Genomic DNA, 23,235 nt, shown 5'->3' with positions numbered 1-23,235 from the left:
CAAAGAAGTCATTATTTGAAAAAGATACTTGCACATGCATGTTTATAGCAACACAATTCACAATTGCAAAACTGTGGAACCAACCCAAATGCCCATCAATCAACGAGTGGATAAAGAAACTCGTATATATATACAATGGAATACTACTGAGCCATAAAAAGGAATGAATTAACAGCGTTTGCAATGACCTAGATGAGATTGGTGACTATTATTCTAAGTGAAGCAACTCAGGAATGGAAAATCAAACATTGCATGTTCTCAATGATATATGGGAGCTAAGCTATAAGGATGCAAATGCATAAGAATGTACAATGGACTTCGGGAACTTGGGAGGAAGAGGGGAAGGGGGTAGGGATAAAAGACAAGAAATATGGCGCAGTGTATACTCCTTGGGTGAGTATACACTCACAAATCACTAAAGAATTTACTCATGTAACCAAATACCACCTGTATACCAATAACTTATGGAAAAAAAAGAATTTACTATGAAGTATTTGTTATGCACTAGGCATTGTTCTAGGAGGTTTACATATATTGATTTATTTAATCTTCTCACCAACCACATTTAGGGGACACTACTGTCAACCTCATTTTACAGATGAGGGAATGAGACATAGATAAGTTAAATTACTTAATGTTACACGTAGTAAGTGGCAGAGCTGAGATTTAAAGTAATTAATAATGTGACCATATTTAAGGGGAAAGTTCAATTTACTTCAGGAAATAAATTGAAAATGTATCAGCATTTCTGTTGCATTTCAGCAGATAATGGGTTGTGCCCCATTGCTATTAATGAACCATATGGGAAGCTAGAGAGGCAGAAGCCAAGGTTAACAAAGAGCTTCACCATGCAACCAGCAGTCTGCTGGTCAGGGGAAGGGTGTCCTACCCATTCTCTATCATCTTATCTAGGACTCTCCAATCTACCTTGTGATTATGCCTAATACAGAACACCATACAAAACCCATCTTCCTGAGACTAAAATGATTCACCCATGCATTGTGCCCAGGGCCAATGTTAGTCTCATCTGAAACTTGGCATAACAAATGCACAGTGAATAATTATTTCTTAAAAATATGACTCAATTAGTCATTAAAATGTATCTAACTTAACTTCAAATATTTTATTATTGAACATGTCAGTATCTTACATGAAGAGGTCTACCTTTTATTTGACTGAATAAAGTAAAAAGATGTTTGCTGTTTGTGTAGAGAGGAGATGCACAAGGTAGAGAATCAGAGAGTTGGCTGGGCATGGGGAGGTGGGTGGAGGCTCATTCTCACCTGGCCTTCACTTGCCTTCCTCCAAGTCTGATTGCCAGAGGGGAGGAGCAGTGTAACATCTGCCTCCAGTGATGAAAATCCACTCTACCAACAGAATGACCATACATTAGAAGAGTGGAGTACTGAGGTCCTGAAGGCTGGTCCCAAACTCCTTAGTTGTGAGTTTACTATCTATATGTGGAAGTTATACGACTACATTATCTTTTAAACTATCATATCTCTATTTTGTCCAGACTGTCTTTGAGTTATTTTGAGTGAGTTCTATTATATGAATTAGTTGGTGGTGGTTTTTAAAAACTGGGAAGACATGCAGATAACTGTTTCCTTACAATAGACTCTGAGCACATATGAAGAAGCTTCAGTCATATAAATGTTTCACGGGTTTTGTGAACTGTCCTGGTAGGAGGAGAATTCTGTCATTTCACCTCGTATTTGTGTAAAATCAACATGACACAACAGTTTGAAATTGAAATCTAAGTTGAAACCTAATAATTTCATAAAATTCTGTCATTTCACCTTATAAGTATTTGTGTAAAATCAACATGACACAACAGTTTGAAATTGAAATCTAAGTTGAAACCTAATTAATAATTTCATAAAATCTATGGTGGTAGTAAGTGATGGAAGGAAAAACATTATCTGGGTAGTTTTCAGCCATATTGGTACATAAAATGAATCTAGGGGTGATTAAATGTTGAGTATATGAATAAATGAATGTGTAAGTGGAATTTGGTAAATATTGATTGATGGCCTAACAGTCTGTACAGCTTAGTTATATCATTGATTATCTGGATGATCCTGCTTCCATAAATTTACTTTTCTAGCTCTTTCCTTTCCAAATTATCAGGAATGCAACGATTTACTCCCTGGCTAACCAGGAGCTGGCTGGTTTCTTCTTATCCTTAAGCCAAGGGCCTTCACTCATCACTGTTTATTTCCTTGATTATTACTTGCAACTTGCATTACTTGCATCTGCATGATGACAAGGACTTAGCCTGGCTTGTTATTCCTGTAAGGGCAAATGCCAACTAAAAATAAGAAGCTCAACTCTTTGTTATGGACTGAATTTTGTCTCCCCCTAAATTTGTTTGTAAAAGCCCCACCCTCCAATGTGACTTTATTGGAAGAAAGGGCCTTTAAAAAGTTAATTAAGGTTAGATGAGGTGACAAGGATGGGGCTCCAATATGATAGAACTGGTGTCCTTTTAAGAGGAGGAAGAGATACCAGAGATCTCTTTCCCTGTGCACGGGGAAAAGGCCATGAGAACAGAATGAAAAGGTAACTGTCTGCAAGATAGGAAGAGCAATCTCACCAAAAACCAAGCCCACTGGCACCTTCATCTTGGGCTTTCAGCCTTGAAAACTGTGAGGGAATAAATATCTCTTGTTTAAGTTACCCAATCTGTAGTATTTTGTTAAGAAGCCTATAAGGAATATATGACTAATATGTTCTCCATGTTAAAAGTAAGGAAAGAAACATCCTTTTCTTAGGGTATTTACTTTAGAAAGCTTGTACCTCTTTGTCATTTTGAAACATATACAAAAATTTTTAAAAGCTAACTTAGTCTTTTGCTAGTTTTAAGACCCAAGGATACTGTTCTCAAAGACCAGGGAATCATCACTTTGAAAATTATCAAGGAAGATAACAGCTCTATTTATCAGGTTCTGTAGGAGGCTAGGAGGGTAATTTCAGCAGGTATCTTACTCCAAGTTGCAAGACAACCCCCTTTTATAAAGATATGAGAAATTTATTTTTGCTTTGGATAAAGCCAATTGTCTAACACAGACGGTTACCCCAATTACTAAGGGAATTTAGGATGAAAGTTGTTTGACAAATGGTGCTGTAAAGTCCCCTTGAGGACAAGTTATTGTTTACCTTGAGAATTTGTATATAAAAGGTTATATCTGCTTGTTATATTAAGAGGTGAGATTTTTTTCTGTCTTTGCAATTTCTTAGCTGATTTCCTGAGACGTGCATCTCACTCTGGTTTAATGCTTACTCAATAAAACTGTGTTCTTTCTCTTCTACCTTTGTGGAGAAGTTTTCCGGGTTAGGAGGAGATTATGTTTTCATTTATATTTCTCTAACACTTCCCAGTCCCAGTGAGAATACAGGCAATATATAAGCATCTGTTAAATTAATACCTACATGTCCCCATCTGTATTAGTCCATTTTGGATTGCTATAAACGAATACCTGAGGCTGGGTAATTTATAAAGAAAAGAGGGTTATTTGACTCATAGTTGTGCAGACTGCCCAAGAAGCACAGCACCAGCATCTGCTTCTTTTGAGGCCTAAGGTAGATTACAATCATGGCAGAAAGCAAAGGGGGAGCTGGCACCTAACATGGTGAGAGAGGAAGCAAGAGAGACACGGGGGCAGTACCACACTCTTTAACAACCAGATCTCAGTGAATGAATACATCAAGAACTCAGCCATTACCATGAGGAGGGTACCAAGCCATTCATGAAGGATCTGCCCCGTGACCCAAACACCTGCCAGCAGGCCCTACCTCCAACACTGAGGATCACATTTCAACATGAGATTTGGAGGGGCCAAACGTTCAAACTATATCACCATCTCTGTTACTACTGCATCCACACAAATAATGAGAGGTTCTATTAGACTTCATTACCTCTTAATTCTGCTGCCCATATCGGATAACCAATGGTAGTCTGGTGATGGGGAATCAAAAGTATAGGCCAAAATTGGTTTTACTCAAATGGCCATAGCATCACTTTAAATGTTTGGAAAAATTAGGTTTCTTTGGTTAGTGGGCTGATTAGTGGAAAATGCCCTGTGCTTACAGTTGGAAGAATTTGGATTTGAATCCAGTTCCACCACTTACTCTCTATATAAGTCTCACCCGTCACCTAATTTCACCCTGAAGCCCGGTCTCATCTGAAAATGTTTCATTTTCCTTATAGGGTCACTGAGAGGACCAGATGAAATATTACAGGTGTGCTCTGCACAGTGAACATTTGTACCATAATGTTTTCTTAGTGAATACGAAGAATGCCTGTCATGTAAATGGACTGTAACACTTACCAGCTAGTTTCCAAATTGGCTTACTCCTAAAGGAAAGAAAAACTGACTTCTTCCATTTCCAGTTCATCTGTCTATTCTTTTACTCTTTTGAATTTCTTCATAAGGACTTTCACTGCCTTTCAACATCATTTTCTTTAACAATGTAGGACATGGCACTCACAGTTTTGCACGTTTAATTTGTTCTGCACTGGAGGTTATGGTCACAAAGGGGGATGCTCTATCAAGTTACCTTGCCTTTTCGGCTAAAGAATTCGAGGTATTTATAAACTGAGGGAATAAAATGACTTCAGTTGGAAAATGAAATGAAACGAGGCATAACTGCATACTACAAGATAGCAATGCAATTTAGAGCTAGAATAGGTCTAGTGTGTTCTAAATCATAAACACATTTTACAGTATAAATATATATTGTCAGTAAACAACCAAACTTTCTGTTGCGATTTATATATTTAGGTTCCTAATTTGGTCTTCAGGTCTCTCTTTGGAGGGGGCCAGAAACCAGCCAATCTCCAGGAGAGCCCTGGCCAAGGGGAAAGGTAGGTTCTAGGGTGTCAGTCAGGTGAGGCACAAGGAGGAGGTGAAACCAAAACGCAGGAACAGAAGAAATCTCTTACTTACACATCCCAGAGAGGTCCAGAGAGCGGCAGGAGCCCGAGGGGAAGTCTGGAGGCCACGGGGAGCCAGAGAGCACAGTTAGGGCCTGGAGCTTTGTCCTGGGGCTTTCCCGTGGGGGTGTGGCTTAGGCTGATTTAAGAGAACAAGTAGGAAGCAGGACTTATTCACAGGACTCTGGTGTTGGCCGTTAGGTTTGATCATGGTCAGCAGCTGTGTGATGTGTGGGTTCTGGGTCAGTGCGATGAAGAGCAAATGGGCCGCATTACAAACAACCACTCAGGGAGGGGAAGTGTTACCCAGACCAGAGGTGATACAGTGAGACTGGGCTTCAGACAACTTAGGTCAGGCCTGAAAATGGATGCTGAGGCAGCAACTATTAACCACATTTATGGCAGTTTCCAACAAAACCTGGCTTTTAAATCATTTCTATTATACGTGAAGAAAAACTGAACTGAAAATAATTGGAAATAACCCCTTTGGTTTGCCCTAATAAGCAGGAATCAAATTTCTAGGTTCTTCTATTATATGTAAAATGGCAATGTCATTTAAATGAAAGCTAAGATATGAGAAAAAATCGAGGGACATATGTAGCCCTTTACCTCAGGTGTGAAACTGTTTTTGTTTCATAAAGGCCTTTTTAAGCTTTAGTTTCAGGTTTATCTTGTTATTTTAGTGCAGTCTACATGAAAATATTCTTTTGAGGCTGTAAAACACATGCTCTCATTTGGAAAAAAAATAGTTTTCATTGACTCTATATGTTCCTATTCTGATTTTTGAGTGTTTCTTTTATCTAGAGGTTTATATTGCTAAAGAAACTGCCTATGGTTATAGTTTGCAGTCAACAAGTTACCCTGAATTAGCTACAGGTGGCTCTCATGATAGGAATGGTGTGGCGTGAGGCTTAACAACGGTTCTCAAATTGTGGTTCCTAAACCAGCACCATCAGTTGTGCCTGAGAGCTTATTATAAATGCAAATTCTCAGACCCCACCCAGACCCACTGAATAAGAAACTCTGAGTGTAACCGAGCAATCTGTGGTCAAACAAGCCCGACAGGTGATGCTGAACTGCATTAGAGAACTGTCAGTTTACCGTTACAGAAACCCCCTTAGAGTTTCAGTAGCACATTACTTAAGTAATATAAATGGCCAACATTTATATTACTTATAAATGGTAGCACATTACTTAAGTAATATAAATGGTCAACATTTTAAAATTGTTTCAGCTGGTACTGAAAACCATTATCCTGTTTAACAAGGAGTCAGGCTAACAGTAGTGGTGGTCGTCATAATTCACAGTTTTGGCTAGTTGGCCCAGTTCATAGGCACACTGATTTACCCAGGGGACTCACAGTGACTTGCAAACACGTCCCTTCTGCAGAGCTCAGACTGAGAGGCCTTTTGAGGAGCTAACCAGCAAAAATGTTTAAATATCATTGATATTTACTCTGCCCTCATCTTCACCCTCATTCTGGGCCTTTGCTTTCCTTGAAATAGTGGCTTTCTCTGTGACTTCGTTTATCCTCTCTCACTGTGCGCCCTTCCTCAGAACTTGCAAAGGCTGCACAGGATTCAAGAATCACCTCCTGAATTTAGCTGCAGAACTGACTACTCTCTTAACTATATCTCATATCTTAGTAGACATAGTCACTTAGATGTCCTCCTGTTAATATCAGCACAAATAAATAAAACTGAATTTGTGCCTCAAATCAGCTCCCTGTCTAAGCTTCCACACTTTCGTCAGTGGTAGGTTGCACAGATCTACAAGTTACCTAATTCCCCTTTCTCCTTTGCTTGCTTGACCCTGGCATGACCTGTAGATTTTAATAATATTTATCATCTTCATCCCTTTTCTCCATTCCTGCTATTACTATACTTAGAATGTGAACACCTGAACTATGAAACTGTTTTCCAAAAGGCCTTCTTCTTTCCCGTCCTCATTCCCTCCCTCTCTCCTTCCTTCCCTTTCTCTTAATTCCTTCCTTCTTTCCTTCTCTCCTCCTTTCCTTCCTCCCCTTTCTCCCACAAACAGATGGCAAAATAAATGGTTTACACTAACCTGTATGACCTCCTCTCCTTCTAGGTCTCCCACTGACTAAGACCAGCCTCCACATTCTTGAGCCTCAAAATTCTCCAAGTTCTGATGACAATCTACTTCTTTCATCTCCCCTCCATTCACTTGCCCTATTGACTCTTTAGTGGTTCTCAAACTCAGCAGCACCAAAAAGGCTGATTAAAAGAGATATTTGAGCCCGACTCCTAGAGTTTCTGACTCAGTAGTTTCAGGGTAAAGCCCAAAATTTAGCACTTCTGAAAAGTTTCCATGTGCTATAGATAGAATGTTGGTATCTCCCCCAAATTCGTTTGTTGAAGTCCTAATCCCCAGTGTGGCTGTATTTAGAGATGAAGCCTCTAAGGAAATAACTAAGGTTAAATGAGGTAATAGGGTGGGGCCCTGGCCTGATGGGATTAGTGTCCTTATAAAATGAGACACCAGAGAACTTAGGATCTCTCTCTCAGCCATGTGAAGACACAGCAAGTAGAAGGCTGTCTGCAAGCCAGGAGGAGAGCCCTCATCAGAAATGGAATTGGTGGCACATTGATCTTGGACTTCCCAGCCTTCAGAACTGGAAAATAAGTTTTTGTGTTTAAGCCACTCAGTCTTTGTATTTTGTTATGACAGCCTGAGCAGGTAATCCTGAGGCTGCTGTTCTGGGACTATACTTTGAGAGCACCTTTCTACTCCACTCTGATTGGTCTTCTTGTCGCTTTGATCTCTGTGTCTTTCTGACATGCCTACTTTTCTCCTTTCTTTACTTGAGACCCACATCTTCTTGAAAACCCACTTTGAACCATACATCTTCCCCGAAGGCTCCCAACTCTCCCATCACAGTCATCTCTCCCCTTCTGAAAGCCTCTACTCTTTATCTTTAGATTCATCTGGCATCTAGCATAAACTACCCTGGATGATTCTTTTTTCTCTTCATACAGTTGTTTTATCTTCATCATGAGCTTCTTGGAGCAAAGAATCTATCCCTGGTGTCACATACCTAGCACAGTGCTTTGTGCACAGTACAGGTTCAATAAATATATGATTATTTGACAACCATGGAGTGTATGGAGAAGGGGTTCCTAGAAACTGCAGGTGTGAATCATTCAGGTGTCACAGATCTCTCAGTCACTCCAAGAGCCTCTTAGGAATGTGGAGGTACAGCTCACAGAGGAACACGTGATTACTGGCTTACTTGCTTAGGGAGCTGCATCCTGAGGGGTCTCTCTTAATGTTTTGTAAACGAAAGAGTCACCTCTGAGACAGAGCACATCTAATGATGATGAGGATGCCATAAGAATGATGAACATTTATGGGGATTTCTATGTGCAAAGTGTTTCATGGGTATTATCACTTGTAGTTCTCCCAGCAACTCCACACGGTATGAATTATTATGCTTTCCATTTTTACAGATGACAAAATTGAGGCTTAGAGAGGATAAGTGACTTATCCCAGGTCTTGCAGCCAGGCAGAACCAGAGCACATGCTTGGGCCATGCCTGTATAGCTCTCCATTCACCTGTTTTCGCATTTCTTGCCTTTCTTCCATAAATAAGCAGAGAGTTTTACACCAGAGGTTTGTACAAGGTTGGCTTCCAACCTTTAAAGATTTAGGTTTACTATTTTTATGCCATTTAACATACCTTATATTCCTTATTCTAAGATAGATTAAACACGTAATAACAAGGCTTAACTTCCAGTGCCAAAGGATAACTGTAGGAGAAAATGTCCCATCTTCGCTCAGAAATCAGCTGTGAAGGACACGTGCAGGTTGTGAGGCAGTAGTCTGCAGTTTCCAATTAACGCCACTGACCCCATTGGTCACCAAACCTGTTCTCAGTGAACAAAAACAGGCGTGGTGGCTCAGTGGGTCCAGAGAAATTGTATTGCATTTTGCTTTCTTGACTCAGTGATTTGAAGAGTAATTTTCTGACATGTCAGTATTTCCACAAGATTCCCAGACAACTTATTCTAACCTCTGTTTTACTTTCTAACCAGACCTAAAACAAAACAAACAGCAGTAACAAAAATATTAAAAAGTATCATAGCTACCCCTAACAAAAAGGTATTACACAATTTTCAAAATACCTGCTTTATCATTAACTCGGCACTTAATTTTAATCGGTGCATTATACAATAACATGTGGGTCCCACTCCAGGCGATTGTGCTACTCACAAAGCAATTATAAGATTCTTTAAATCCTAAAGTTTTTCTTGTTTTTTTCTTTTTTGAGACAGAGTCTTGCTCTGTCGCCCAGGCTGGAGTGCAGTGGCGTGATCTCGGCTCACTGCAACCTCTGCCTTCCAGGTTCAAGCCATTCTTCTGCCTTAGCATCCCAAGTAGCTGGGACTGCAGGTGCGTGCCACCATGCCTGGCTAATTTTTTTTGTATTTTTAGTAGAGACGAGGTTTCACTGTGTTAGCTGGAAGGTCTCGATCTCCTGACCTCGTGATCTGCCTGCCTCGGCCTCCTACAGTGCTGGGATTACAGGCATGAGCCACCATGCCCGGCCAAGAGAAAGTTTAACTGGGCTGTTTATTCCAGCTCAGATTTAAATCCAAGGCCTTAAAAGACTTCAAAATCTACCACTTTGAATAAACTGCACCTTGGCAATCAATTAAACTATTGTACTTTGCATAAGAAAGTATATTTTTTATATTTTTAAATAAAATTATAATTCAAAAATAAATATCTAGACATGTTGGGATCATTTGAAAGTACAGAAAACCATAAGCAGGCAGAGAAAAAAAATCAACCACACTTTCATCACACAGAAGTAATTGTTGCTTTATTTTGGAATCCTGTAGAAGAAATTTTATATCCTAACTTTTATTAACTTAAGATTTATTTCACTAACACTTGCCTATTTTACTGCCGAACTACATCATGAGTCTGCCCATATTTCTTTGTCACTATTCCACCATCCAAGCCCCATGCCATGTCTCACCTGGATTTTTACTGGAGGCTGGAACTTGTCTGTCTGCTCCTGTCTTGTCTCCCTTCAGTCTATTACCCATGTTGCACTCTTGCTTAAATCACTTCAGTGACATCCATTGCTCTTGGGTGAGATGACTGTCACAAACGGGCACCCAGGAGCCAGGCATGTAGTCCCAGCTTCACCATGCTCGGCTAATTCTTGTAATTTTAGTAGAGACGGAGTTTCACCACGTTGGCCAGGCTGGTCTCGAACTGCTGACCTCAAGCAGTTCTCCCTGCTCAAGCAGTTTTCACCTTGGTCTCCCAAAGTGTTAGGATTACAGGCGTGAGCCATGGTGCTGGCCCTCTGTCTGACTTTAGAGGGCTGTTCTGAGACTCAAGTGACGAAAATACATGAAGGTGCTTATAAATGGTAGTAAACTGCAGTGTGAGTGGTTATTTATAGGTAAACTTTATACGTAACTTTAGATGTAAACAAATGTCAAGTGCTTTTGTTTCTTTTGAAAATATATGTATGTTACCTTCATAATTATTTAAACCAATCTTAGTATTTGAGAGGCAAGTAACAGGGAACACTTGAAGTCAGGAAACAGGGATTCTAATCACTGATATTCAGCATAACCTTGGAATAAGATCTGGCTCTCACCAAATTGAGAAATAAAGAAATGCATCATATATACAGTTGTTGATTAAAAATGTGAGTGCGATAAAAAAATGTAATCTTTCAAGTATTCATGACAAAAAATGAAAGAAACACTAGAAGTACACCTATTCCGAGCTAAAAATATGTACATTTTAGTCTGCCAGTACATTAAAAGTGATAATTTCCCCACAGCATCACATGCAATAAACATGTGCTTATTCTATGCTGTGAGAACTCTTAAACTTTACAAGTGACTTTACAAATGATTCCCAGTTGTCTTAATCTGATTTCAGATTTCCAGAAAAGATAAAATGCTGGGCCAAATAAACTGTATTCTGAGAAAGTGGGATTCGGGATTTTGATGTCCTGCCCAGACTATAATGGAAATATTTCTGTGGAAAGCTCTTTTGTTCATTCTGGACAAAGGAGTCATCAAAATTTGATGTTTTCTCTCACTCCAAAGAGGATTATTCTGATACTTGAAATGCTTATTTCAACATGTTAATCTTTGACCCATATGAAGGAGTTGCCATGGAAGAAAACCTGGCAAAACTCTAAAGATTTTTCAAGTATCAGAGTATAAATAGTGAACAGATGGAAACCAGAATTTGAGGAATTTTAGGATGGTTTGAGAAGAGACTTTTTATGAGGGTTTCGCTGGGCTCTAGGGAAATGACAAGGGAAAGTGGAACTGCTAACTGCCCTCATCGGTAAACCATGAGGGGAGGAAGGAGTTACTGGAACCTGGAAAGAGAGAGTTTTCTAGGAAAGACATTGAGAAGCTTACAGTCAAAGGACAGAGCCAGGCTGAGAGGACCTTGTCCAGAGGGAGCCTGGAGAAGGAATATCTGAACGTAGTCTTCCCTTTTAGGAGGGGCTCCCTGCTCTCTGAACCACTTGGGAAACAGGGAGTAAGCCTGCTCAAGACTGTGACCCACACAGCTCAGCCTCCTGCGGAGTGGGGGAAAGTAGATTAGGAGGGGCAAATGGAGATATTTGGCATAGACTTTCATGGTAATTTACCTAGCACAAAGCCTGGCATATGACAAATGCTCCTAAAACTAAGTCACATGAAAGGATAAATGGATCTTTCAGTGACCTAAACTGTGCACAGTGGCATACTTCATTTTTTCCTGGTCGGTTTTTGAGTTTCATGTAACAGACTGAATAAAACATCATGATTTCAAGAGTTTGCCAAAAAAAAGTAGTCTTTTTCTCTCTTTCTAATTTTATATGCCCCTTTGTATTTCTCCAATGGCACTTACTTTTATCTTGTATGATAATTAGTGAATAGTATCAGTTGTAAAATTACAAGCTTTTTTCTAAGGATGCACACATACTCATACACACTTTGGATGTTCCAGTGTCTAGAACAGGACCACAAACATAGTTGCTACAATAAAAGTCTGTAATCACATACATTCAAATATGAGAACTATGTTATATTACACAATTTGAGATTTTCTGCATTGAATTTTATAGCATTCATTTGTTCTATAACTCACTAAGCACCTGCTTTGCATCCAGTACTCTACTGGGCACTTAGATTTCAAAGATGAATATGCAAACTGCCTGTCCTACTAGGGCTTACATTGTAAGAAGAGAGGGTTGCCAATTATCAATCACAAAATGACTCACTGTGCTAGGGAACTGTCACAAGATGAATCCATGTGCTGGTGGGGGACAAGAGGGGAGAAGAGGGAGACAGGGAGGACAGAGCAATGCAGCAATGTCCTACAGGTGTATAGTAGACTCCAGGCTATATTAGAAAGAGTGTCCTGGAAGCAGGATGTATTTTCTTACATTTAGCTTGGATTTCTACAACGTCAGTTCCTCTGTTTATTACTTAAAAGGTGTCCTGGCTACTGAGCTTACCCAGTAACTGCAGCCAGAATGAAGTGAAACTGGGGAGCAGAGGAAGAAGTTAGAAGTTTGCGGCGGGGATTTATTGCCAACATGAAAACTAAGTATCAGCTTAAAGATCATCTCCTGAACAGAAGAGAGATTCAGTGATACTAACATGTAGAGTACGGAGAAGGAACTACACCCAATTATTTAAAGCTAGGGAGAAGAAAGCATAGGCTGTGGGAAGGAATAATGATAGACTGATTTCTTTCGGATGAAAACGAGTGTGAGACAGTGGGAGGGGCATTGTCCCTGTCACTTACCTACTTGACCAACTACCTTAGCAAGTTTTAAAAATCTATTTGTGAGTAAAATCTTTACACATCGTGTCTTAATGTGAGAAGTGTGGAGAATGTTACTGGTCTTGCAGGATTTGAGGGAGGAACAGCACAGAGGTAGACAACTTGGTTAGTGCACAAGATGTTTGCTTATCTTCACTGTAACCTTATTTAATATTTGCCATTTCTACTTTTGGAGTCAACATCCTTAGAATCATATCACAGTACCCCTCTTATTAAAGGTATTTGTGCATAGCTCTTTGACTGCTCTGAAGACCCTCATCCACCTTGGTGAAGTGAATGTCATCAGAAAGACTGCAATGTTTGAAGAGCCATATTTCACAGATTCTCCTCAGTTTTACACTTAAGACTCTAGAGAAATGCTAACCTCTTGTCTTAGAAGGAAATTCTAGATAGTCCAATGGTGCCTAAGGGGCAGAGAGTGACATAGACCTGCTGGATAGGATTCCAGATCTCTGATTATCTCTGACAAGCTTAGCCAATATGAGAAATAACTTCTATGTTTTAAAATCAGTATTAAGTTGAAAATGGCCAAGCATAGGAACTGAAGACATTTCTCAGCATTTTTTCCAGAGGTGGCTATCCAGTTGAAATTTCAGCGGTGGCCCTTGGCCAAAAAGCTCATTTTTTTTTTTTTTTAATTTGAGAACAGTTTTTCTGCCAATGAAATATTAAGTTCTTCTGCATTACTGATAAGAAAATGGTTCACTCTTTCCACAGTGAACCATTTCAGAAAAGGGTTTATTTTCTACTTCTGGAATATAGTTTGAGGAATATAATTAGAGATAATGCTTTCATTAGGTGGTATGATCCCAAATAACTATGTGTGAGATGCTTCCAAATTTTACACCTGACAATAAAAGTGTGCTTGGATATATAATCTGGTATTTAAACTTTTCATCCTATATTCTGGATACAAGGTGGGCAGATCACCTGAGGTCAGGAGTTCGAGGCCAGCCTGGCCAACATGGTGAAACACCGTCTCTACTAAAATTACAAAAATTAGCTGGGTGTGGTGGCGGGCACCTGTAATCCCAGCTATTCAGGAGGCTCAGGCAGGAGAATCACTTGAACCCAGGAGGTGGAGGTTGCAGTGAGTCGAGATTATGCCACTGCACTCAAGCTTGGGTGACAGAGACAGACTCCATCTCAAAATAAATAAACAAATAAATAAATGACATATTTCTTCCACTTAAATTATAAAAATGACCAATAAAAAGAAGAGTGAGAAATCTCCACATGACATTAATGCAATATACTAGGCATACTGAAGTATATTAATAGATTCCAGGATGGGAATCAGTAACTATCTGCTTTCCATCTCAAATTAAAATACATTATACTCTACTTCAGCAGGATACAGGTTATTAAAATGATCAAAATGATCTAATTTAATGTTAAGAAACTTAAAATAAGCAGAGACTCAAAGACTTCACTCATTAAAAATGAAAAAATAGGACAGATCATAGAGTACAAACACTTCAGCTCTTGTATTTTAATTCACATAGGCATTAACTATTAATATTTTTATGGAACTGTTGTAACTTCTATATAAAATATCCCTTTTCTGTGTAAAGCTTTTGTGATTCAGGTCACTCAAGCTGCAATAAAACTCAGAGAAGGAAACAGAGGATGGCTCAGCAATTAATCATCCTGTGCCTTGTTTCAAATTGTGTTATTCATTGAAAAAACTGTATTTAATATGTTCAAGTTTTATTCATTTTTCACTGTCTGCTCCTGCATGAAATATTCAAAGAGCCCTTGGTATCATGAAATAGTTGTTAGAGAAAAACCTTTTTTTTAGTAACATTGTAATCAAGATGCAAGAAATGAATTTTCTACCAGCTTCTAAAACTGTAAGTAATGCATTCTTGAGAAAAAACAGCAATAAGAAATGTAATATTTCAAGCTAACTATCAATTTTAAACCACTGAGTCAAATTTTGGAGAAATAACATGTCGTAATTCCAACATATATTAAAATTTCTGCTAATGTTACATTAAACCTACCACAGTATTTCTACATATTTTAATGGTGCAAGGAAATTTAAGATACTTTTAATAATATCTATTGATTAAAATAGGGGGTTATGTGGTGAATTTTGTTTTAAAAAAAATTATGTTTCTTCACCAGTAAAAATATACTGTGGACATGCTTGCTATATTGGGATTTTAAAATAAGAGCGCAAGTACGTACTTTCCTGGAGAGTTTCTTTATCCAGAATACATTTCTTCTTCTACCTTCTCATGACCCAATATACTCACCTACCTCTCTGCCTTTTCTGTCTCCTCAGACCAAAATTTCACTTCTCACTTTTCAGCCTGTGTTAGATTAGGGTGTCCTAGACTGAGCACTATTACTATTTAGAGCCAGATGAATTTTTATTACAGGGAAGGCTGTCCTGTGCACTGTAGGATGTTTAGCAGCATTCCTGGCCTCTGTACTAGATGCCAGTAACATGACCACCACTCCAGGATGTGACAACCAAAGCTCTGCAGATATTGCCATATGTCTCCTGAGGGGGAAAACCACCCCTACTTGAGAAGCACCATATTAGAGCAACTTGCATACATAACATCATATCCACCTTTGAACATATTTCTCACTGTATGAAACTTAGCCCAGAGGGGACACTCAGTAAATGTTTGTTAAATGGATGCAGAATAAGATGGTGTTTTAATATTGCAGTACATTTCTAGAATAATAAACATGTGACTCTTATATATTAAATTCTCAGTTCCACTTAAAAACTTAAGAATACTTCTACATCCATTTTGGATTTGTTTATTTTCCATGTTTGGAACAGAGAGAGAAGACTGTTTTTCCAATATGATAGATCATATTTGAATTATTTGGCTCATAAATTTCTAATGGGATTCAATTCCTTGTATTTTTTTCTTTTTGTCTAACTACTACAGAAAGATGACATCCAAATCTCTTCCAAAAGAGAATAATGAAGGAGGAAAGGAGTACAAAAATAGGAGAGAAAAGAGCAAGAAAGAGGTGAAGAAGGAAAAAAGAATAAACGAGCAAGATACAAGAGGCATTTCCATACTTAGAAACCCATTTATTAAACCATTTATTATAAACCCATTTATTAAAAAGTTGAATTCAATTAAACATATTTTTAAAGGGAAGTATGTCTTAAAGCCTGAAAATAGTGAAAAAAATTGATTATAAGTTATTGGCTTTTTCCTTATATTAAATGCAATAGTTACTTTTCTAACACAAGCAAGGGAGAAAAACAGAAAAAAGAGAAGGAGATGAGAAAGGAAAAGAAGAAAATGGAGTAAGGGGAAATTATATGAGAATAAGAAAAGTAAAACACAAATGCTTTTAAAAGTGCACTTAGATTTCTAAAGAATCACAAGACTTTTTATACAACACACATTTTGATTAAATAACACTTAAATAATGATTCAATGCAGTTTGAAACAGTAATTTCCCCCACAGAACATGAATTAAAAATTAAAGAGACAGGCCGGGCACGGTAGCTCACACCTGTAATCCCAGCACTTTGGGAGGCTGACGTGGGCAGATCACCTGGGGTCAGGAGTTTGAGACCAGCCTGGCCAACATGGTGAAATCCATCTCTACTAAAAAAAATACAAAAATGCCGGGCATGGTGGCGTGCACCTATAATCCCAGCTACCCAGGAGGCTGAGGCAGAAGAATCGCTGGAACCCAGGAGGCAGAGGCCGCAGTGAGCCGAGATCGTGCCACTGCACTCTAGCTTGGGTGACAGAGCAAGACTCCATCTCAAAAAAAAAAAAAAAAAAATTAAAGAGACAAAAAAATCACTTTGGGTTTTATGATCATAAGGTAAATGATTATGCTTATTATTTGGAAAAAAATACAAATTTTTTTCCCAGATAATACTCATTTAAAAGTTGTATTTCATTAATTAGTTCTGTATTTCTAAATTAAGAACACATGAGAGAAAAAGCCCAAGTAATAGGGAAACATTCATTCAAGGTAGTGAGCCTTTTTACTTGTCCTCAAGGAGAGGTGTACATAGAGGTCAGGGCACAGAGTTTAGATACATGTTGACCCGGGATCTGGCACCCTGCTTTTTAGCCACCTGACATTAGGTTTGGGTTCTCCCAGAAGTAAACCTGAGACAAGCATCAAAAGGTAAGTGGTCTGCCTGGGGAGGGATCCCAGGAAACACTGGGAAAGGAGCCAGGAGGTGAGAAAAGAAAAAAAAGTAAATAAGCTAAAAAAATAAGTAAGTAAAAAGTAAGTAAGTGTGTGTCAAGCCAGCCTTCTGAGGGAAACTGGATCCCATCTCATAGGGAAACTCTGGAGTGCTGTATATGTAGAATACACATCAGAGTTGGTCACAAATGAGGAAGATAGAGATTTTCTCTTCTTCCTTTCTTACCCACCAACTTCCTGTATTTCACTGGTAGGGGGCTGCTCCCTGAGGCATTAACCCTCTGGCACTCCAGCTGGTCCTGCATAGGACCGAGCCTGTGCCTGTGGCTCCTCAGGCAGAGTGGCAGGTGTTTGCAGTAAGCAGTGTCAGCTATTACTACTTTATATTTGACTGATACTATAACACCAGTATGATCTTCCTAAATCATATAACAAAATCTAAGTTAAAATAACAAAAATGAAATACAATGACTATTCATGGGTATTTGGTATTGTGCTAAGTCCTAGACAGTTATTTGGATAATTGCAACAATATTTACACCGTGACATGGTTTGGCTGTGCCCCACCCAAATCTCATCTGGAATTGTAGCTCCCATAATTCCCACACGTCATGGGATGGACCTGGTGAGAGGTAATTGAATCACAGGGGTGGGTTTTTCCTGTGTTGCTATCATGCTAGTGATTAAGTCTCATGAGATCTGATGGTTTTATAAACGGCAGTTCCCCTGCACACACTCTCTTGCCTGCCACCATGTAAGACATGCCTTTGCCCCTCCTTTGTCTTCTGCCATGATTGTGAGGCCTCCACAGCCATGCTGAACTGTGAGTCCATTAAACCTCTTTCCTTTATAAATTACCCACTCTTGGATATGTCTTTATTAGCAGCATGAGAATGGACTAATATACACTGGAAACTGAGACTTCATTTGGTCATTTTTGACACCATGCCACCAGAATAAAACAGGTACAGGATAATGGATCCTACCATTGATTGGAAATGATCATCTGCAGGAAGAGCACCAATGGAATACAAAGGGTGGAACCCAAATGCCTCTATTTCAGCATGTCCAGTGTCAAATGTTCAAAGAATTGTATAGCACTTTATATAAATAAGACTCCAATAATTAAACTTTTCTATATTTCTCTGTCACTTAAGGGATCTTGGAAGCTGAGTTTCCTTTGGCGCCAAAGAGAACATGGACTGGACAGAAGAATTTGGAAGTCATAAGTACAAACTATAACTTTAGGATTTGTTACAGAAATAAGTATTGTATCTTCTACTATATTTTCATTTTTATGGTTTTATAAATAATTCTAAAATGCAGCTAATTTTCATCGATCTCTCTTGCCCATCACAATTTTCCAAAGGGTGTATTGTTGGCTAACTTTATTACTCAGTCTATGGTCATGAATATTGAGATGGGATTGTGATAGAATCAAAAAAAGAGAGGGAATGAATATTACTCAGAAATCCTGGATTCACTAACTGAGAAGACTTTTTAGCTTGCCTCCATTTTTTATTGAACATGGTCATGTTACAACAAGCCATAGCATTGTCCCTCCCCTAATGTGGAAGTATAAATGCTTATGTACAGGTAGAGAAGAGAATTTTAGAGAAATGGCAGGGTGGAGAAAGTGGGTAGTAGTGGAGAAGTCTCCATTACCACCAACAATTTGAAAAAAATGTATGAGTTTTGTATGGCTCAAGTGAACCTCACAAGAGGAAGGTGGGCTTTAGCTTACTTGCTGGAATCCCATTCCAGAGGGCTAGCCACAAGGAATGGATTTTCAAGTAGCAAGAATCTATGGCATATGCTGCAGTAGGCAGTCACAGGAGACACTGACAGGAATTGATATGAAATAGATTTCACTCCTCAAGGAAATGTACAGATAGGAGGGTCCCCAGAAACACACACGAGAGACCAGCGTTTGGATGCAACCATATAGGAAGCATTGAGGGCCTCTTCTTCTTCCCCTTTAGTTTCCATTCCCCAAAACACTGAGGAATAGAGGGACCTGTAAGTGGATGGGGAAGGAGGAGTAAGTGGCACATCAGGCTCCCTTTTATACACTAAGTCCTTTGGGCCTGAACATGTCTGGTGAGGGCAGCTGGGCGAGGGTGGATAGGAGGGCTGGAGGAGGTGGAAATAAGTTTCCACAAGGCATATTTACAGGTAGCTAACGGAGAAAATTAAAAACCATTTCGTATCTATATCCTACCAATTTCAGTTATCTGAAAAAAAAATTGAATACTCAGAAAAAAAACAGAAAATGAGGGAACAGGAAATAAACTAAGAGTAAAACCAATTATATTGTCAGTGAGTTATTAGAATTAAGAATCCTCTCCTCTTCCCATATGTTTTTAATGTTTTCATATAATACATGTAATAAAAAGGTAATTATGCCAAATTCCATATACCATAGTTGATTATACACACACACACACACACAAACAAACATACATAGATGTATGCACACACACACACACAGTCGGCCCTTGATATCCATGGATTCTGCATCCATAGATTCAACCAACTGCGGATGGAAAATATTTTTAAAAATTGCATCTGTACTGAACATGTATAGGCTTTTTTTCTTGTTATTATTCCATAAACAATACTATATAACAATCATTTACATTTTTCATATTCTACATACTCTAGAGATGATTTAAAATATATGGGAGGATGTGCATATGTTATATGCAACTCCTATACATTTTTATATCCGGGACTTGAGCATCCATAAATTTTGTTATCCGTGGGACGTCCTGGAACCAATTACCCAGGGATACCGAGGGATGACTGTCTGTATATGTATATGAGTGTGTGTTGGAGGGGGGGGTGTACACATAAATGTAAACCTATAAAGATGAAGCAAAAGTTTTATATACTCATTTCTTTCTTGGAGTAAAGCTACAACACTATTTATTTGATATATTAGAATTGTATTCGTATTTATAAAGTTTAGAAAACCTTGAGGGAGCATGAGCATGCATTCAGGGAATAATGTTTTGAATATTTCTGCATCTCTTGACAATCTCTCATGAGCTCGACTTTTCCCTTTCTGGAAATATCCCACAGTATAACCTGGGATATATGAAAAGGGATAATTGTAGTTTTTAATTGGACAGTATCAAAAAGCACAGAGTGTTATAGGCAGACTACCTACCTAGCACATTTAGCTTTATCTTTGATATAGGTAGAAAAATTAATGTATCCAAGAGGAAACAATGATGAGTCCAGGGTATTTTCATCACAGTTAAAAACTTATCTGTATGTTCCCTTTTCCAAGGATCTTTCATGAATGAAGTTAGTGTCTTCTTACTTACTTTTATTATTTCTGTAGTATAACTTTTATTAGGTTCTGAAGTTTGAGCCTGCATTTGGCTCTTTTGACTCGTACTGACATTTTCAATAATCTCTTAGAAATGCCAGATCTTAAATGCATATAATCACCAAAATATAATAAATCACAAAGCAACTTGAAAGAAAAATTTTTGAACAGTAATATCCTAGAAGCTTATGAGGTGGAAACTTTGACACATGAAACATATCTGAGTTTCAAAGATATGAAACACATGAAACAAGCCTGCCTCTTGGCCTGTTTCAAAGAAATCTTGTAATTTTTTTCATATGAAATGAGCATAAAATGAGATTTCCCTTATGGAAACCCCAGAGCACAGGGATTTTACATTCGAAATTAGGATTTAGGGAATTATTATCATTTTTTGGAAGATACCAAGACCAGAAATCCACTGAGTCTTTTATACTGAATTGAAGAAAATATCTTGGTCATAAATATTAAAAAGTAGATTTTACTTAAAGTAGTTTTATGGAAGTTAAAATCACCAACAAGTCAGCCATTCCATAGAGCTTTAGTATTAAATACATCTTAGTGTTATTAAAATTATTTATAAAATTATAATTCATGAACACTAAAAAAATTGGTATTCTCTATTAACCATAACTCTCCATTTTTAATGATACTTCAATTCACAACAGCAAAAAATTATTGGGACTATGTATAATAATTCTGATGTTAAATTTTATTTTAGTATTCAGTTTACCTTATTCTCAGGTCCTATGTGTTACTTACTCTGTGAGGTTTGAGTATCTATGAATTTCTTTATCAAGGCATCAGTAGTTTGGGTATAAAGACTGAGAGCATATCTCAGAGACTGAAGATCTGGGCTTTTCTCCAAGAAATTCTTTTTCAGGCCATTTCCTCCTGCATGAAAGTATTGCTACAAAGAAAAAAAAATAAGCCGAGGCATTTAGAGAGAAGTATTGGAAGACAGAATTTATTACTCTAATAGAGAAGCTCAAATGGAATAATACAATTTGATCAATGCAAGATACAAAAAAATGGTTCCATCATTTTCCCATTGCTAAGTTATTAACGTCTAATTCAGGTCCCTAGACATCTCTGAAATGACACTCAACATCACAGACCTCATATCCCAGAAGGCCTAAGCCTTTATCTCTTATGCAAGATTTTAAACAAATGAGATCATGCTGATGTAGCAGTCAGAATCCTTATAGAATGACAGGTTTAGGTAACAATTATCAACCTGGTTATTGACTTCTGTTTCTTGAATATGAGAAAAATACCAAGGGTTGTCAAAATTTCACAGGGAAGGTAGCTTCCGGCCACATATTTTCCAGATACCAGTTTGAGATTCTAGGTCAGGTGTCTGCCACTCCATCTGCCCCATCCTCTAATCACACAGTGGTGCAGATATAGGCCAACCTGACGAAGCAGAGTGGTCCTTGGAAATCCAACACCCCTTGAACTTTGTGTCTGATAAATATAATAATACTTTTTTTTGCTATTTTTATTCAACCAAACTCAAAATTTTCCAATATTTATAAATAAGATAATAGAGAAGATATATGGTAATTGACAATAAATATGGTCACTGAGGGATGTTAGCATTTTTCATACTACAAGTGTTATGCACAGACAGACATCTCTTGGAAATGCAGACTGTCTAGAGATATATGATAGAACTAAGGATGTTTTTTTCTACCTGTTTATAAATGATAATAGATTTATAACATTCTATTAAGTTTAGATAAACGGTTCTCTTTCTCTCTTCCCGTACCAACAATGCTAGAGGAAACAAAGCACTCACTAGTAACTGTGGCTCACTGTGATCTATAATTAGCACAGAACGAAATATGTCAAAGAAGCTCAAGAAATTATTCAGAGACGCTCTCCTAAATGGGTATGTGTCATTCTTCTTTCCCACTCCTTAAGAATTTCTCAGGCAAGACATTTCAATGAGCTGATTTTCTCAGTTTTTTTTTCCCTATTCAAGGGGAGATGCAGAAAAATTTTATGGGTATTAGCTAGCATCTGGTTGTACTTTCCGAGAGTATACTGTAGAGGAGATTCAGGGTGTAGGCCAGAGAAATTAGGCAAATGGGATTTAAACTTAAGAAACACTGGTACAATTATAGATACCCTCCCCAGGCAGAAAGAAACCTATGGTCCTTTGAAATTCCATTTACTGATTCTAGCTAGGTGCTCTGTGAAAACACAGGCTTTGGCAAAAACTACATATGCTATGAAAAGGAGGCACAGAAAAAATGTCTTCTCTTTAGTAAAAGACAAAACATAAGTTTTAAATTGTTCTACACCTGGATCTTATAAAGAATGTTAAAACATTTTCACATGAAGAAAGTATTTAGAGGACTATTAGTCCAGAACTGTTTCAGGTGCCTTAATGGATGAAAAAATATGACAATTCCTTTCTTTGAGAAACACAGTATTTAAGGATGGAAAAAAGATTTCATGGATGTATTGAGGGGGATACACATAAATATAGATTGGTCTTGACTCTGTATCACCTAGAAGGGTGGTGGGGTGCTCTCTGGAGGACTGTTTACATAATGAATCAAGGAGCCATCCAAAGAAATAACTGTGCCTGAGAGTAAAGAGCAATGCTAGAAACTGAGCCAAGAGTAGGGGGGGAACTCTGGAAAGGAAGGCACTTTCTCTCTTAATATTTCTCAGGTAAGCCCCAGTCTTATAAAACCTGAGCAAAAGTGATAGATGATTATAATAAAAGAGGACGAGGAGGAGCAGGAAGAGGAGGAGGAAGAGAGGGAAGGAAAACCAAAACTGATAAAATGAAAATTTGCCACTTCTGGGGAAAAAGGAGCAGAAAAGATTAGTGGATATTCTGTCTATGATACACATTTGCGTTATTTTCACTTTTCATTGTCCTTGGGCTACTTTAAAACTCTATAAATTGTAGAAAATTAATAATAATAGTATAGATGATTTTTGT

General features: G+C 38.1%; 1 protein-coding gene across 7 annotated transcripts in view, besides 1 other annotated feature; it reads right to left on the bottom strand.

Annotated features, from left to right (window-relative positions):
- The window catches only part of UNC13C (unc-13 homolog C), a 795,839-nt gene that overhangs the window by 44,458 nt on the left and 728,146 nt on the right, over positions 1-23,235 (bottom strand). For all 7 annotated transcript variants that reach the window (XM_047432538.1, XM_017022220.2, XM_017022221.2 and 4 more), the window contains one exon: positions 21,036-21,183. In XM_047432538.1, the coding sequence (XP_047288494.1) occupies positions 21,036-21,183 (148 nt within the window). The remainder of the gene's footprint in view (positions 1-21,035; positions 21,184-23,235) is intronic.
- Positions 5,910-5,989: a silencer, noted in NCBI's record as "silent region_6452". NCBI's record gives its function as "represses an Ori minimal core promoter by ATAC-STARR-seq in GM12878 lymphoblastoid cells {active_cell/tissue: GM12878}" and the evidence as "EXISTENCE:reporter gene assay evidence [ECO:0000049][PMID:35858748]".

This window comes from Homo sapiens, chromosome 15 (assembly GCF_000001405.40).
Source record: "Homo sapiens chromosome 15, GRCh38.p14 Primary Assembly".
Lineage (NCBI taxonomy): Eukaryota > Metazoa > Chordata > Mammalia > Primates > Hominidae > Homo > Homo sapiens.
This window is presented reverse-complemented; position numbering and strand designations above follow the sequence as displayed.